We start from the raw sequence: 18,611 nt of genomic DNA, 5'->3' as shown, positions 1-18,611 counted from the left end.
GCTGATTGGTCCACGGGTGGCCATCAGCGGGCCCAGGATAAAGCACCATGGGTTCCCCCTGTGGTCTGTAGAACTGGCAGACCATCCCCCAAGCTTCAGGCCTTCCGTGGCTTGAAGGTGGGGCTTCAATGGGGACGCACCCCCTTCTGCCTCCTACTGCCATTCATGGCACCCAGGCTGTTTATGCCAAGAGGCACCTGAAGGCCAGCACCAGTCTGTCCTCAGCTCTCCCTCGGCCTCCCTCCCATGCTTGTCAGAGCCCAAAGTCCAGAGGAGGATGAGGCAGCAGGCGGCTGGTGTGTCAGGGCTGCCTGAGCATGTACACCATTGGCCAGGCTGTGACAGTGCCTCGGCTCAGCGCCACACTGCTCTTAGATCAGAGCAGGCACTGACAGCAGGGAAAACGCAGGCAGGAGGAGCAGGCACTTCTGAGCCTGCAAGGGCTGGGGGACCTTCCCAGGCCTCCAAGAGTGCAGAGATGCCTGGGTCCACAGCTGCAGTTTGGGAAGCTGCAGCCAGGCCCAGGAGGGCAGGGCTGTTGCCTGCTCCTGGCTTCTGCTGGCTCTGTGGAGTGCTACATCACTCCAGATCCAGCTCCACCTCGGGGCTCCTCTCTGCCTGCTCCTCTGTAGCCAATCAAGTTGCTCCCCCGCTGGTGGGTAACCCAGCCCAGTCCCATGGCAGCGGCTCCCAGGGCAGAGGGCTCCATGGGAGGATCCTAGGGGCGGGCCCCAGGGACTGTCTGCCTCCTCCCCATGCCCTCCCCGCAGCAGTGGTGGGCGAGAACAGTGAGGCGGAGCCAGGATCCAGAGCGGCAGAGGCTCCGGGCCTGGGAGCAGGTCCCACCTGGCTGCACAAGGATGGGGGTGGCACAGTTGGCTATCACGGGGATACAGGCACAGAGAACCCACCACCACCATTGCTGCTCCTGCAGCCCCTCTTGCTGCCACCAATCATGCCTTCCCACTGCAGCTGGCATGATGGCAGTGGCCACTCCAGGCAGCCCTCCACTGCCATCAAAAGGATATCAAAATGACTTTCCATAAGTAACATATTGCTAGCCACTCAGAGGCACAGCCAAAATCAGCTCATCAAAAATTTGAGGATAAATGTGATATATCACATAAACAAAATTAAAAACAAAAATCATATGATCACCTCAACAGACGCAGAAAAGGCATTTGACAAAATCCAGTATGCCTTTATGATTAAAAACCTTTGACAAAACTGGCATGTAAGGGACATAAAGTAATAAAAGCCATCTATGACAAGCCCACAGCCAACATCATACTGAATGGGGAAAAGTTGAAAGCATTCCCCTTGAGAACTGGAACAAGACAAGGATGCCCACTTTCACCACTTCTATTCTACATAGCACTCAAAGTCCTAGCCAGAGCAATCACATGAGAGAAAGAAATAAAGGGCATCCAAAACAGAAAGAGAAAGTCAAGCTGTCACTATTTGCCAATTATATGATCATAGACCTAGAAAATACTAAAGACTCATCAAAAAACTTCTAGATCTGATAAATGAATACACTATTGTCTCAGAATACAAAATCAATGTACACAAATCAGTAGCACTGTTATATACCAACAATGACCAAGCTGAGAATCAACTAAAAAATTCAATCCCTTTTACGACAGCTACAAAAAATAAAATAAAATACTTAGAAATATGTTTAGCCAAGGAGGTGAAAGATCTCTGCAAGGAAGACTACAAAATGCTGCTGAAAGAAATCACAAATGACACAGACAAATGGTAACACATCCCAGGCTCATGAATGGGTAGAATCAATATTGTGAAAATGACCAAACTGCCAAAAGCAATCTACAGATTCAATGTAATTCCCATCAAAGTACCATCACCCCTCTTCACAGAACTAGAAAAAAAAATCCTAAAATTCATATGGAACTAAAAATAAGCCTGCATAGCCAAAGCAATACTAAGCAAAAAGAACAAATTTGGGGCCATAACATTACCTGACTTCAAATTACACTACAATACTATAACTATAGTTACCAAAAAAGCATGGTATCAGTATAAAAATAGGCATGTAGACCAATGGCGCAGAATAGAGAACCCAGAAATAAAGCCAAATACTTACTACCAACTGATCTTTGACAAAGCATACAAAATCACAAAGTAGGGAAAGGACATCCTATTGAAGAAATGGTGCTAAGATAACTGGCAAGCCACATGTAGAAGAATAAAATTGGATCCTCATCTCTCACCTTATACAAAAATCAACTCAAGACGGATCAAAGACTTAAATAGAAGACCTGAAAACATAAAAACTCTATAAGATAAAATCAGAAAAACTCTAAAAGATAAAATCAGACATCGGCTTAAGCAAAGAATTCATGACTAAGAAGCTAAAATCAAATGCAACAAAAACAATAATAAATAGAAGGGATATAATTAAGCCAAAAAGCTTCTGCACAACAAAAGAAATAATCAGCAGAGTAAACAGACAACCCACAAAGTGGGAGAAAATATTCATAGATTATGCAGCTGACAAAGGACTAATACCCAGAATCTACAAGGAATGCAAACAAATCAGCAAGAAAGAAAACAAATAATCCCATCAAAAAGTGGGCAATGGACATGAATAGACAATTATCAGAAGAAGATATAAAAACAGCCAATAAACATATGAAAAAATACTCAACATCACCAATGATCAGGGAAATGCAAATTAAAACCATAATAAGATACCACCTTACTCCTGCAAGAATGGCCATAATTTTAAAATAAAAAAAAATTAGATGTCAGCATGGATGTGTTGAAAACGGTACACTTTTACACTGCTGGTGGAAATGTAAATTAGTACAACCACTATTGGAAAACAGTATGGAGATTTCTTAAAGAACTAAAAGTAGAAACACCATTCAATCCAGCAATCCCACTACTGGGTATCTGCCCAAAGGAAAAGAAGTCATTATAGAAAAAAGACACGTACATGAACAGGTTTATAGCAGCACAATTCTCAATTGAAAAAACATGGAATCAACCTAAATACCCATCAACCAACAAGTAGATAAAGAAAATGTGGTATATATGCACCATGGAGTACTACTCAGCCATAAAATGAAATGATATAATGGCCTTTGCACGAACCTTGATGGAGTTGGAGACCATTATTCTAAGTGAAGTAACTCAGGAATGAAAAACCAAACATTGTGTGTTCTCACTTATAAGTGGGAGCTAAGCTATGAGGATGCAAAGGCATAAGAATGATATGATGGACTTTGGGAACTTGAGGGGAAGGGTGGGAACAGGCTGAGAGATAAAAGACTACATAATGAGTACAGTGTACACTGTTCAGGTGACAAGTGCACCAAAATCTCAGAAATCACCATTAAAGAATTTATTCATGTAACCAAAAACCACCTATTACCCAAAAACTATTGAAATAAAATAAGATAAAATTTGAGGATATTTGATGAGAGTTACAGAAAAACTAGAAAGGAAAAACAAAATGAAAATATATGAGAATATAAAGATGTATGAATTTACAAGGACCAAAACTCTATTCTTAATGGAATATATGTCTTAGCTAGTACAGCAGATTTCTCTTTCTTTTCTTTGCCTCCACTCTACTGACAAATTCCCATATGAAAGGTCAAGAACCAAAGTTCAATATGTTTGGTCACACAAATTCCGAATTCTTCCACTAAACCATCTCTCTCCCTCTCCCTCTCACTTTCTACCTTCTTCATTCGCTTTCCTTTTCACATATGAATTCCAGTTTTCATCCACAATGAAGCAGCAGGTACCTGTATATAAATACCCATCATTGGATAGGGATGAGAAATTCACGTTTCTTTGGATGCATGAGCACAACAATCACTGAAGCCATCATAAAGCCCAATGTCATATTTCCCCTTAATTGAGAGGACAAAATATATATCTCTTTAAAGACTCAAACCACAAGAGTTTAGTATCACATGGCTAAGAAAAAGGAGAATTTAAAAGCTACAGAAAAGATAAAAATAGTTGCTTTTAAAACTAAAGGATTTTTTGGCCACCAATTACTCCTATAAAGTTTATGCAGAATTCTGCTTACAGCCATGATGAACTAATTAGACCTGGACTTAACTTCCCACTATAAACAACTAGGAAATGGCAAAAAATATGAAACAACTGGTTTCAGATATTAACCATGATCCATTAGCGAATAGAAACAAACAAAATCAGCCATGTGACAGCTGTAGTTCAATGCACAGATGCACTTTCCAGACTACTATGTTGGAGGACAAAGAGTCTCAAAGAGAGCATGACATGCATGCTGAGTTAAGGAGATAGAGAGGGAGTTTGGGGAGGCTGTGGTGGCTGTCATTTGTAAAACAATGTACTAGAAAAGGGGCACTTAGGTACACAAAGACTGCATAGGACTTCCCTTGAGTCTGTTGACAAATACAAAGCTGTCCACACATACTACAAAATTTCACAAGGCATGGCAAAGAATGACTAAGGTTTCATGAGCTGTAAAATCAAAATCCCCTGAACTCACACAGAGTAGGAAAATTTTTGAATTCTGAATAATTAGAATGGGGAGTCTTAGTGGAATAGCCAGGGCATTCAATAATAACTCCAAGATCATAATGACTTGTAATATGATGACATAGCCTCAAAATAGACTATTTTACACCTACCCTAATAAAGCTTCAAAACAAGCCTTGTAAAGCTCAATCTGATCCTTAAATAATTTAACAGCATGCCATAACAAAGTCCAACACTTTAAAATAAGAAAACAAAATCTTGAGCTTAACAACACAAAATTCATAATGTTTAGCATCAAATCTCAAATTGCTAGACATTACAACCAACCAGAAAACCATTAACAAAATGGCAGCAATAAGTCTTAACCTACCAATAATAACTTTGAATGTAAGTAGATCCAATTTCCCATTTAAAACATATAGACTGGCTTAGTGGATTAAAAAAAAAAAAAACTACCCAACAATATGTTTCCTAGAAGGGATTTGCTTCACCTTAAAGGACACTTATAGACTGAAAGTAAAGGGATGAAAAAAGATATTCCATGCAAATGGAAATCACAGGACAGCATAAGTAGCTATACTTATTTTGGCCAAAATAGACCTTAGGTAACAAAAAAACTATGAAGAGAGACAAAGAAGGTCATTATAGAGTGATAAAGGGATTGATTCACCTTAAGGATATAACAATTGTAAATATATATGCACCCAACATTGGAGCAACTAAATGTGTAAAGCAAACATTAATAGATTTAAAAGGAGACACAGACTGCAACACAATAGTAGTGGAAGATTTCAATAACCCACTTTCAACAATAGCCATACCATCCAGACATAAAACAATAATAAGGAAACACTGGACTTGAACTACACTTTAGACCAAATAGACCTAGCAGAAATATATAGAACATTCCCCCCAACAGCAACGAAATACATATTATTTTCAAATACATATAGAAAATTCTCCAGAATAGATTATATGCCAGGCCACAAAAGAAGTCTTAATAAATTTAAGAAGATTGAAATTATAACAATTATCTTTTTGGCTACAACAGAATAAAACTAGAAAGCAATAACAGAATAAATTATGGAAAATTAACAAATATGTGGAAATTAAACCTTATGCTCTGGAATAACTATTGGGTCAAAGAAGAAATTAAGAAGAAAATTTAAAAATATCTTGAGGCGGCCGGGCGCGGTGGCTCACGCCTGTAATCCCAGCACTTTGGGAGGCCGAGGCGGGCGGATCACGAGGTCAGGAGATCGAGACCATCCTGGCTAACACGGTGAAACCCCGTCTCTACTAAAAATACAAAAAAAAATTAGCTGGGCGTGGTAGCGGGCGCCTGTAGTCCCAGCTACTTGGGAGGCTGAGGCAGGAGAATGGCGTGAACCCGGGAGGCGGAGCTTGCAGTGAGCCAAGACAGCGCCACTGCAGTCCAGCCTGGGTGAAAGAGCGAGACTCCGTCTCAAAAAAAAAAAATAAAATAAAAATAAAAATAAAAATATCTTGAGGCAAATGAAAATGGCAACATAACATACCAAAATGTGTAGGATGCAGCAAAACAGAGTTCTAAGAAGGAGGTTTAAAGGAATAAATTCCTGCATCCAAAAAGAAGAAAGATCTCAAATAAACAACCTAACACTACACCTCAAGGAAACTGGAAAAAGAAGAACAAAATAAGCCCAAAGTTAGCAGAAGGAAAGAATAACAAAAATCAGAGTAACACCTAGAAAAACAATAGATAAGGTCAACTAAACTAAGAGTTGGTTTTTTGGAAAGCTAAACAAAATTGACAAACCCTTAGCTATACTAAGCAAAAAAAAAAAAACAAAAACAAAAAAAAAAGAGCAAGAAAGAAGACTCAAATAAATAAAATAAAAAATGAAACAGGAGGCCGGGCGTGGTGGTTCACACCTGGAATCCCAGCACTTTGGGAGGCAGAGGCAGGCGGATCACTTGAGGGCAAGAGTTTGAGACCAGCCTGGCCAACATGGAAAAACCTGGTCTCTACTAATAATACAAAAATTAGCTGGGCGTGGTGGCAGGTGTCTGTAATTCCAGCTACTCAGAAGGCTGAGGCAGGAGAATCACTTGAACCTGGGAGGCAGAAGTTATAGTGAGCTGAGATTGTGTCACTATGCTTCAGCCTGGGCAACAGAGCAAGACTCCATCTAAAAAAAAAAAAGAGGCCGAGCACGGTGGCTCACGCCTGTAATCCAAGCACTTTGGGAGGCCAAGGCGGGTGGATCACCTGAGGTCAGGAGTTCAAGAACCAGCCTGTCCAACATGGTGAAACCCCAACTCTACTGAAAATACAAAAATTAGCTGGGTGAGGAGGCGGGTGTATGTAATCCCAGCTACTTGGGGAGGCTGAGGCAGGATAATCGCTTGAACCTGGGAGGCAGAGTTTGCAGTGAGCCGAGATCACACTATTGCACTCCAGCCTGGGCAAAAGAGTGAGACTCAGTTTCACCAAAAAAAAGAGGAGCAATTACAACTGATAAGACAGAAATACAAAGGATCACAAGAGACTGCTATGAACAACTATACGACAAGAAATTAGATGACCTAGAAGAAATAAATTCCTAGAAACTCGTAACCCAATAAGACTTGAATTATGAAGAAATCAGAAATCTGAATAGACCAATAACAAGTAAGATATTGAACAAGTATTAAATGTCTCTTCAAAAAAAAAAAAAAGAAAAAAAAACCCAGGACCGTATGGCTTTGCAGCTGAATTCTTTACCAAACATTAAAGAAGATCTAATACCAATCCTCCATTCCATCATCTGGAGAATAGTAAGAAATGCGAATTCCTGAATTTATCCCTGAACCAAAGAATTAGAAACTCCAGACCCAATGATTTTTAAAAAGCCTTCCAGGTGGTTCTGATGCCCACTTAAGTTGAGAGTCCCTGATAAAGGAGCATATTTCATAACCTTGGAGAAAGAGTAAATAATTTACTCAAGTAAATAACAATTACCATAAAGAAACATGTCAATAAACTATATCCCATTAAGAAGAAAATCTTTTTATCAAAATATAGCTTTAAGAGAGTAAAAGGAAAACTACAGATTGGTAAAGAAAAAATATGTACATAGATATATAATCACAATACATGTATCCAACAAAGAACTAGTACCCACAAAATATAAAGAACTTCAAATAAAGAAAACATAGACACCCCCCACCCCAAAAAAAAAAACCCAAAAACCTAAACAGGCATTTCACAAAAGAATATATCCAAATGGTTTAACTGCATATGAAAACATGTTAAGTTCCATTCATCAACAGGGAAATATGAACTAAAACAACAATTAGATACACTACACTCCCATCAGAGTGGCAAAAGTTAAGAGTTAGTAACACCAAATATTGGCAAGGATGCAGAAAAGATGGAAGGCAAAACTGGTGTAACCATTATGAAAAACTGTTCTCCAGTATCTATTAAATGTAAGCAATATTTCTAACCTATCACCAAGCAATTTTATTTCTATGTTTATTCACAAAAGACATGAGTGTTTATGTTCACAAAAAGACGTGTACAAAAGTATTTAAAGCAACATTATTAAAAATAGCTAAAATCTGGAAACAATTCAAATGACTACCCCAAGTACAATGGATAAATTGTGGTACATTTTACACAATGGAATACTACACCACAATGAAAAAGAGTGAACTACTGCTACATGCCACAACATGGATAAATCTCACAGAAATAATGTTGAATGAAAGAAAGCAAGCTGGGGCAACATGGTGAAACCCCATCTCTACAAAAAATACAAAAATTAGCCAGGTATGGTGGCACCCACCTGTAATCCCAGCTACTCGGGAGGTTGAGGCTAAAGTGAGCCAAGATCACACCACTGCACAGAGCGAGACCCTGTCTCAAAAAAAAAGAAAAGAAAAAAGAAATTACGAAGGCAAACAAAAAATAGTACTGGCCAAGATTCCAGTAATGTGAAGTTCAAAAATAGAACTAATAGATTATTAGTTCTCTTTTAAAGAGCGTTGAATGGGAAAAGGAGCCATGAAGGAGAGTTCTGGGTGCTGAAAATGTTCTTTATCAGGGTAGTAGGTTATGCTTGGGTTTCTTACAGGAAGCCGACTCTAAAACAGGAAAGGAGAGAAAGCCAAAGTAAACTATATTAACGTGGGGAGCTTTATAAATGACTTTACTTTGGGGCATGTTATCAGATACTAAGGCTAATATATTGGAAAGAATAAAACAAGAAAGGAGAGAAAGTCAATAGAGTGGTACTATCAAGCTGGTCGCCACTATGGAAAACTGGATCTGACCTCGCCGGAATCCTCTGATGAGCAATGAAGATCTTGCCTCAGAATTGTCCACCTGAGGGGTATGAAAGGAACACAAAGCCCTGACTCCCATCCCCTAATAGTCACGGATTGCCCATTGGGTCTTAATTCCCCCACACTTTCAGTTTTGAGCATTCATAAATGCTAAGTAGCTTCTCACAGGTGTCCCAACCACATTGTGAATAAAGACTTAGTGCAAAAAAGCAGCGGATATGCAGTGAGCTGAGCTGAGGTTCTGTAACCAAGAGCCTCACCAAGGGCTGGAGGAAAACAAATGGGCTGAGGTGTAAGGCACGGTACAAGAGATGTCTGCTACTGCTATGTTTTAAGGTCAAATGAAGAATATATAGACACAACATAAAAAATCAAATTTTTTTCCATAGGAAAACTTCAATATTCCACAGCCTGTTCAATAACTGTTTAACTTTCAGTGCCACCTAGTGGTGACATTCACAAGCATCATGTTACAGCTCTTTAACGGTTTCAAGGGAAAATCCTCATAATATTGTATGTGGTTCAACGTCACTCCATTATGAGTTGAAAATCCCGTGCCTGATGTAGAACACTCACCTGCAGTAACAGCTGTTCATCTGTTGGGACCCTTATCTTAACTCACCACTTTCAGAAGAGCAGACAAACTCAATTTGGTACTTGTAAGTAAACTATATTGATGTGGGGAGCTTTGTAGATAAGACCTCACTGTATATGGAGAATTTTAGCTGCCTCTGGGCTACTTCCCCCGTATTTTATCTCAAAGTTACCGTCATTGTTAAATGAGATCTCCATATTGCATCTGTAATCTAAAAATCCTAATTTCTCTAGCCTCCTGGAGTCAGTGTTTACTTAAATCTCCAAATTAAAGTATACCAAATGAATTCCATTAAGCCAAGTTAATTATTATAAAACCAAAGTTAAATAATGTTTTTCTCATTTTATCTTTGTTGTATTAAAAGTATATTCATTAGCATCAAGTCTTTTTCATATGAAAAAAATATTCATGGTGAAAAAAAACTAATTGGTGAATCAAATATGAATTTCACCTATACAAAGGGTTTGCATTTGTGAGTTTTCTTTTGTACCCATTATTTCTTAAAAATTCAATTTTTCTAGATTTCCAAATTGATTTCAATGTTTCTATATGACATTTTATCCATTATAATCCATTATAAATCATAGTTTGTGTTGGTTTTGCTGCTATTCATATTTATTTAAAGTTTTAGATAGAGCAAAGGTAGCTTGTTAACACATTAATGCATTTCTAATCAAATTTCCATGATTGTCCTTTGTCCTGAATTGGATTACCATATTGCTAATTTGGTTCTCTTACCAACTTTGCAAATTGTATACTATTTATGCAGGCTAGGGACTGAGTAAAAAGCATAGAATGGAATTAAATGTTCTTTGTTGTATAGACAATGATTATGTCACCTACAAATAAATGTAGTAGACTTATTATTTTCCAGTTTATGACTTTAACTTCTTGCCTTTGCCTAATTAATTCTTAACTAATGAGACTGGGACATCCAGTACAGTGCTGAATAGATATGCAGAGCACAGACATTCTTGCCTTGTTCCCAACATAAGAAAAGTGTACAATATCACCATTAAGTGTTATGTTAGCTATAACTTTTTGTTGTTGCTTTTTGTCAAATTGAGGAAATTCCTTTTTATTTCTAATTTACTAGTAGCTTTTTGTCATAAACAGATGTTGAATGTTTCGAAACTTCTGTTTATCCATTCAAATAAACACATGATTATTTTTCTATAATTCTCTACATTCTCCTATATTTTGAATATAGGAATTATATAGGAACAAAATATAGGAGAATATAGGAATAAAGTATCGGCAAATTATTGAGATTAATTACACTTTAATTTTCAAATATTAAGACAATCTTTCTTTTCTGTGATAAACCCCACATAATCATGATTTAATAATCTTTTATATATTGCTAGATTTTATTAAACTATTTAAAGATGTTTGTGTCTAACTTTATGAGTAATATTATTCTGAATTTTCTTTTCTTGTAATTTGTTTATAAAGTTTCAGTATTAGGAATATGCTATCTTCCTAAAGTAAGATTTTAAGTAAGATTGATATTTTTTCTTCTTTAAATGTTTGATAGAATTCACAAAGCCTTCTGGGTGATGCTTTGTCTTTATAAGAGGGATTTTTAAAACAAAATATGTTAATATTTGTTATTTATTATTTTATTTTTGCTTTATTGTACTTATTATTTACTATTTATTTGTTATTTTAATAACAAATTATCATCATAGAGCTATTCAAATGTTCTTTCTGTCTCACTTTCAGTAAATTGAGTTCATTAAGGATTTTTTTCATTTAAAAGTACATTTTCAAATATATTGGTATAAATTTTTTCATTAAATTTTCAACTTATCTCTTTAATAATAAGATTTGTTATAATATTCTTTTTTATTGTTAATACTGGTAATTTGTTATTTTTCTCTTTTTTCTTGATCATTCTTGCTAGGAAGCTATCAATTTTATTAATCTCAAAACTAAACATTTGGCGTTATTTTCTCTATTGTTTGTTTTGTTTTATTGATTTCTTCTTTATCTTTATTATTATCTCCTATTTATGTTGGGTTTACTTTGCTCTTTTTGTTCTTGCTTTTTAAGGTGGAAGTTAGCTCACTGATATTAAACATTCCTTCTTGTTGTTCTATAACATTAATATTTGAAGCTCTGAAGTTCCTGTTTTCACCACGTTTAAAGTGTCTCACATAATTCGATACGTTGTATCTTTATTATCATTTATTTAAAAATGTTTTCTAATTTCTTTTTTGAATTCTTTACTAATCCATGAAATATTTAGAATTGTGTTGCTTAATTTTTAAATATTTGAGTATTTTTTAGATTTCTTATTGTTATTGATTCTAAATTCAATTCCATTGTGATCAGAGAACATACTCAGTGATTTCAGTTCTTTCATGTTTATTTAGACTTTTTTATGGCTCAGCATGTGGTCTACCATGGTAAATGTCCTATGTGTGCAGGAAAAGAACACATATATTCAGAAGTTATTAGATGTAATGTTCAATAGGTGTATATCAGGCCATATTGATTGGTAGTATTGTTCAAATCTTCTATATCTTTATTGATTTCTGTTCAGTTTATCAGTTGCTGAAAGAAAGTGTGTTAAAAATCTCCAACCATGTTTGTGATTTAATTTTTACTTTGTTTTTATTAATCTATTTATCATTAATTTTGAAATGTTATTATTAAGTGCATTGCCATTTATAATTTTTATTTCTTCTTTGTGAACTGATTAATTTATTTATTATTATAAAGTATTCCACTTATTTACTATTTTCAATTCTTTTCCATCCTTCTTTTATATCTGAGTTTATAACTTGTATTATTTCTCTTCATCTTGACAGACTTCTTTTAGCATTTCTTAGTAGGTCTACAGGCAACAAATTCCCTGCACTTTCATTTTCATTTTCAAAATGTCTTTATTTCACTTTTATTTGTAAAGGATATTTTTGCTGCAAGTAGAATTCTAAGTTGATGGGTTGTTTCTTCTTGCTTGTTTGTTCTTAGTAATTTAAAGATGTGTTTTATTCCCTCTTCTCTGGCTTCCATTTCTAGTAAGAAGTCAATTGCCATTCTTCCCATTGTTCCCCTGGATGTGCTGTCTTTTTTCATGGTTGTTTTTAAAATTATCTTATCATTGGTTTTCAGCAGCTTATCTATGCTGAAAAGTTTCTCTATGCTTTGCTCTGTCAGCAGTTTGACTATGACATGCCATGGCATAGTTTCTTTGTATTTATTCTGTTTGAAATTCACTAGGATTTCTGAACTTATAGATTAATATTTTTCAATTTAGGGAAAATTTGGTCATTATTTCTTAAAAGATTATTTCTGCCCGAGTCTAATTATTATTTTAAAAAGTTGTAGACACTGTATAGATTTATAAATATTTCAGTATTTTTTCTCTATGTCTTATTTTGGATGATTTCTATTGACCTTTCTTCAAGACAATTGACTCTTCCTTCTGCATTGCTTGTTCTACTGTTAAGGCCACCAGGTATGTTTTTGTTTTTCAGAATTCATTCTATGAGTTTCTTTTCTAATTTTTATTTATTTTACAAGATTCTTCATATATTCATCCATTCATTTTATCTTATAATTTCCCAAATATATTTATAATACTAGTTTTTAAAATCCTTTTCTGTCAGTTCCAATGTCTGGGTTATCTGTGAATTTGTTGCTTTTGATTTGTTGATTTTCTTATGGGTCCCTTTTTTTTACATCTGTGGTCATGTTTTATGTCATACTGAACACAGTATTTACATCTGTGGTCATGTTTTATGGTATACTGAACGTAGTACATGGATAACAGTGAAGACTGACTTACGCAACTCTTTTGCTTTGTTTTTATTTCCGGGCATGCGCAATCTCTTCTATGTGTGGCTGCCAAAGTAGGAAAGTGATTATTCATATTTCACTGAGTATCGGGTTAATCTTGAACTAAGCAGCAATTTTTAAGATTGAATTCATCACTGGTTAGGCTTTCCTCCTGATGCCACAGCTGATTCTACCAAAGCCTAATTTCTTTTTTCTTTCTTTTTTTTTTTTTTAGACGGAGTTTCGCTCTTATTGCCCAGACTAGAGTGCGATGGTGCGATCTCGGCTCACTACAACCTCCGCCTCCCAGGTTCAAGTGATTCTCCTGCCTCAGCCTCCTGAATATCTGGGATTACAGGTGCCCGCTACCATGCCCGGGTAATTTTTGTATTTTTTAGTAGAGATGGGGTTTCACCATATTGGTGAGGCTGGTCTCGAACTCCTGACCTTGTTATCCGCCCGCCTCGCCTCCCTAAGTGCTGGGATTACAGGCATGAGCCACTGCGCCCGGCCTCCAAAGCCTAATGTCTTTGATCTTATCAATGTTCAATCCTGGAGCCTAGTGTGTCTTGGACCTGCGTTTTACCTTTTGAATCAGTAGGAGCAGAACTCTGTTCCCAGGCACCACAAGAATACGTAAGACTAGAAAGTTGTTTCTGCTTTTTTCCTTTTTTTTTTTTTTTTTTTTTTGAGACGGAGTCTCGCTCTGTCACCCAGGCTGGAGTGTGCAGTGGCGCGGTGCGGGCTCACTGCAAGCTCCGGCTCCCGGGTTCACGCCGTTCTCCTGCCTCAGCCTCCCCAGTAGCTGGGACTACAGGCGCCCGCCACCACGCCTGGCTAATTTTTTTTTTTTTTTTTTTTTTTTTTGTATTTTTAGTAGAGATGGGGTTTCACCGTGTTAGCCAGGATGGTCTTGATCTCTTGACCTCGTGATCCGCCCGCCTCTGCCTCCCAAAATGCTGGGATTACAGGCGTGAGCCACCGCGCCCGGCCTGTTTCTGCTTTTTAGCCTCACCCTATTCTCAGTAAAATGGGAATGGGACGCCAGAAAGCATTTCTGAGTTAAGTATATTATTGCTGCATTTGGGAGTCTTCTAGACTCCAGTGTCCCTGCCTGGCCACCAAAGTGCCAACAGCTCATCTATCTCAGTCTTTGGCAGGCTTTCTTCTCCGCCTTTGCCTCCACAAACTGCCACTGCTTAACGGTCACTCACAAAGGGCTCCCCTCTCTGAAAATTAGTCCTTCTGGACTTTTCTTGCAACTACCATTCTTCAGTAGTTTCATAAATGAGTAAGAGTTTTATAACATCTGAGGGGTGGGGGTTTTTTTATGTTACCATAGGAGCAAATGTGTTCCACATCCTTTCACACGCTACACAGAAAATTGTATGTTGTGTTTAAATCATAGCCAAATTGCAAAGAAAATTATGGTTTCTTTATTTTGTTCATAACTGATCTAATCTTTCTCATAATTATCTCCTTCTAGGTTGAAAGGATTATAAAATGTAATTATGTTTAAAATTCCATGTGATCTAAAATTCCATCATTCTATCATGAGCCCAGGAGCTCCTGCTACATAAAACATATGCTAATCAATAAATGTGATACATCACATCAACAGAATAAAAAACAAAAAAAACCATATGATCATCTCCATAGATGCAGAAAAAGCATTTGATAAAATTCAATATCCCTTCATAATAAATACTGGCAACAAATTAGGCATAGAAGGAACATATTTCCACATAACAAAGGCCATATATGACAAACCCACAGCTAACATTATACTGAATGGGGAGAAGCTGAATGCCTTTCTTCCAAGAACTGGAACAAAACAAATATGCTCTCTTTCACCACTCTTATTCAACACAGTGCTAGAAGTTCTGTCTAAAGCAATCAGGCAAGAGAAAGAAATAAAGGTTTTCCGAATTAGAAAAGAGGAAGTCTAATTGCCCCCTCTTTGAAGATTACATGATCTTATATCTAGAAAAATGTAGAGACTCCACCAAAAACTCTCAGAACTGATCAACACAGTAAAGTTGCAAGATACAAAATCAGTCAACATGCAAAAGTCAGAAGCATTTCTATACACCAACAACATGGTAGCTGAAAAAGAAATCAAGAAAGCAATCCCATTTATAATAGCTACAAAAAAATAAAATACCTAGGAATGAATTTAACCAGGGGAGTGAAAGATATCTAAGGAAAACTGCAAAACATTATTGAAAGAAATTGAAGATGACACAAACAAATGGAAAAAACATCCCATCTGCAAGGAATGGAAGAATTATATTGTTAAAATATCCATACTACCCAAAGCAAAATATAGATTCAATGTAACTGCTATCAAAATGCCAATGACAGTCTTCACAGAAATAGAGAAAACAATCCTAAAATTTGTGTGGAACCACAAAAGACCCCAAATAGCCAAAGCAATACTGAGCAGACAGAACAAAGTTGGAGGCCCGTCACGCCACCTGACTTCAAAATATACTACAAAGCCGTAGGAAGCAAACGTCCTAGTATTTGTATAAAAACAGACACACGGACCAGGAGAGAGAAACTAGAAATAAGTCCACATTCACAGCCAACCGATTTTTGACAAAGGCACAAGAACATACATTAGGGACAGGACATGCTGTTCAATAAATGGAGCTGGCTCTACTACTATTTGGAAGGTCATTGGGCTCTACTTTGTCCTTTGTATTGAAAACAGTGTGGGATCAATGTGTGTGTATGTGATTTGGTTGTTGGGTTGGCTTTGCTTTTTCATTTTTTATTTTCCTTATTTTAAAAGTACATCTTCTCCTCTCACATTTTACTAAGTTAATTTCTGCTTTTGAAAAGTTGAGTCTCAAAGCGTAAAAACTAAGCCTTCATTTCTAAGGTGGATGTGAAAGTCATTTAACTTTATTCATGCCTTATCTTACAGCTTTAATATCAGATAGGTTAGGAGAGCCCAGGGGAAGTAATGGGGGAGGGGAGAAGGAAATTCTTTCTGAATGAATATATTTTTTGTTGTTTTGCATTTTTAATATACAAGTTCCTCGAGAGATCATGGCCTTTGAATATGCATACAACCTTTAAATTGTGCCTACTAATTTATAGCAGGATGCTTTGGTGTCTAAAAACTTCTGACTTTCTGGGATTATAATAGTAATTCCCAGCCATACTCCAACTTAATTTTACCAACCATAATTGAACACTGTAAATTACTGATATACTAATGTTTTATAGCCAAGTTTTATACCCAAGTTTATAGACTTGGGTAGTCTAACTGTGACTTTAATTATGTTTGCCAGTTATCTGTTTGAAATCAATTTGTATCTGAACAGCTACTGAAACTGTTAAGTTGTACAGATATTATTCATGACAGTTTGTACTGTGGAAGGTGCTTAATAAGAAACAAAAGGTTTGGCCTTTGTCCAATAAATCACTAACTAATGTCAATAAATCAAGTACAGTATGATGCACTAAAATAAAATAAAATATGGTGCTGTGAAAACTTGCTATCCACATGCAGAAGAATAAGACTAGATTCCTATCTCTCACCATATACAAAAATCAAATCAAAACAGAATAAAGACTTAAATGTAAGACCTGAAACTATAAAACCACCAGAAGAAAACACAGGGGAAATGCTTCAGGACATTGTTTAGGCAAAGATTTTATGGCTAAGACCCCAAAAGCACAGGCAACAAAAACAAAGACAAATGGGACTATCTTAAACTAAAAAGCTTTATTTGGTCAGCAAAGGAAACAATCAACAGAGTGAAGTGACAATCTGCAGAATGGGAGAAAATATTTCCAAATTATTCATTTGGTAAGGGCCTAATATCCACAAAATACAAGAAATTCAAACAACAGCAAAAGGAAGGAAGGAAGGAAGGGACGGAGGGCGGGCTTTCCAGCCCCAGACCCCTACCCTACAGCCGCCGAGATATTGATGCCTAAGAAGAACTGGATTCCCATTTATGAACTCCTTTTTAAGGAGAGAGTCATGGTGGCCAAGAAGGATGTCCACATGCCTAAGCACCTGGAGCTGGCAGACAAGAATGTGCCCAACCATCATGTCATGAAGGCCATGCAGCCTCTCAAGTCCCGAGGCTAAGTGAAGGTACAGTTTGCCTGGAGACATCTCTACTGCTACCTTACCAATGAGGGCATCCAGTATCTCCGTGATTACCTTCATATGCCCCAGAGATTGTGCCTGCCACCCTACGCCGCAGCCATTCTGAGACTGGCAGGCCTCAGCCTAAAGGTCTGAAGGGTGAGCGACCTGCAAGACTCACAAGAGGGGAAGCCGACAGAGATACCTACAGGCAGATTGCTGTGCCCCCTGATGCCGACAGGAAGGCTGAGGCTGAGGCTGGGGCTGGGTCAGAGACGGAATTCCAGTTTAGAGGCAGATTTGGTTGTGGAGGTGGTCAGCCACCTCAGTAAAGTTGGAGAGGATTATTTTGCATTAAATAAACTTACAGCCAAAAAAAATTAAAAAAAAAAATCTCATTAAAAACTCGGCACAGGATATGAATAGAAATTTCCCAAAAGAAGACATACAAATGACCAACAGGTATATCAAAAAATGTTCAACATCACTAGCCATCAAGGAAATGCAAATCAAAACTACAATGAGATATCACCTTACTCCAGTTAAAATGACTACTATCAAAAAAAAAAACCATAACAAATGCTGGCGAAGTTGTGTAGAAAATGGAACTCTTATACATTGTTGATGGGAATGTAAATTAGTATAGCTATTATGGAAAACAATAGCACTAGTCACAATAGCCAACATATGGAATCAATCTAAGTCCATCAATGGATAAATGAATAAAGAAAATGTGGTGTGGCCATATTAATGCATAAAAACATACAGTTAGATAGAAGGAATAAGTTTGGTGTTCAATACTATAGCAGGGTAACTATAGTTAACATATTGTATATTTCAAAATAGCTGGAAGAAAAGATTTGAAATGTTACCAAGCGCAAAGAAATGGTAAATGTTTGAGATGATGGGTATGTTAAACACTCTGATTTGATCATTACACATGTATACATGTATCAAAATATCCCATGCACCCCATAAATACATACAATTATTATGTATCAACTTAAGAATTTTTTAAAAAGTAAATAGGAGAGGTTATTCTTTATGAGAGGGACAATGGGAAGCGGAGAGGAAGGGATACTAATTTTCTTTTCTGTCAGCATTTGTTTGAATTTTTAATCATATGTATGTTACATGATTTTTGTCATCAGGACTTATCTGCTGAAGAGGCACAATTTATTTTCTTTGTGTCACTAATTAAACTAGCTATTAATTATTTTTTAAAGAAATGGATAAAGATGTCAAATCAACAGCTTCAGCTTTTATCTTTAAAAGCTAGGGGGGAAAGAACAAACTAAACCC

The 18,611-nt window shown here is 36.8% G+C and overlaps 1 pseudogene, besides 1 other annotated feature; it reads left to right on the top strand.

Annotated features, from left to right (window-relative positions):
• Positions 594-1,144: an enhancer, noted in NCBI's record as "H3K4me1 hESC enhancer chr1:158181915-158182465 (GRCh37/hg19 assembly coordinates)". NCBI's record gives its function as "activates a minimal SCP1, AML or CMV promoter by ChIP-STARR-seq in naive H9 embryonic stem cells {active_cell/tissue: H9 hESC(naive)}" and the evidence as "EXISTENCE:reporter gene assay evidence [ECO:0000049][PMID:30033119]".
• Positions 17,102-17,693, top strand: RPS10P8 (ribosomal protein S10 pseudogene 8; annotated as a pseudogene).

The sequence above is a fragment of the Homo sapiens genome, chromosome 1, assembly GCF_000001405.40.
Source record: "Homo sapiens chromosome 1, GRCh38.p14 Primary Assembly".
NCBI classification, from domain to species: Eukaryota; Metazoa; Chordata; class Mammalia; order Primates; family Hominidae; genus Homo; species Homo sapiens.
Note: the sequence above shows the minus strand (reverse complement) of the source record. Positions and strands in the feature narration are given on the sequence as shown.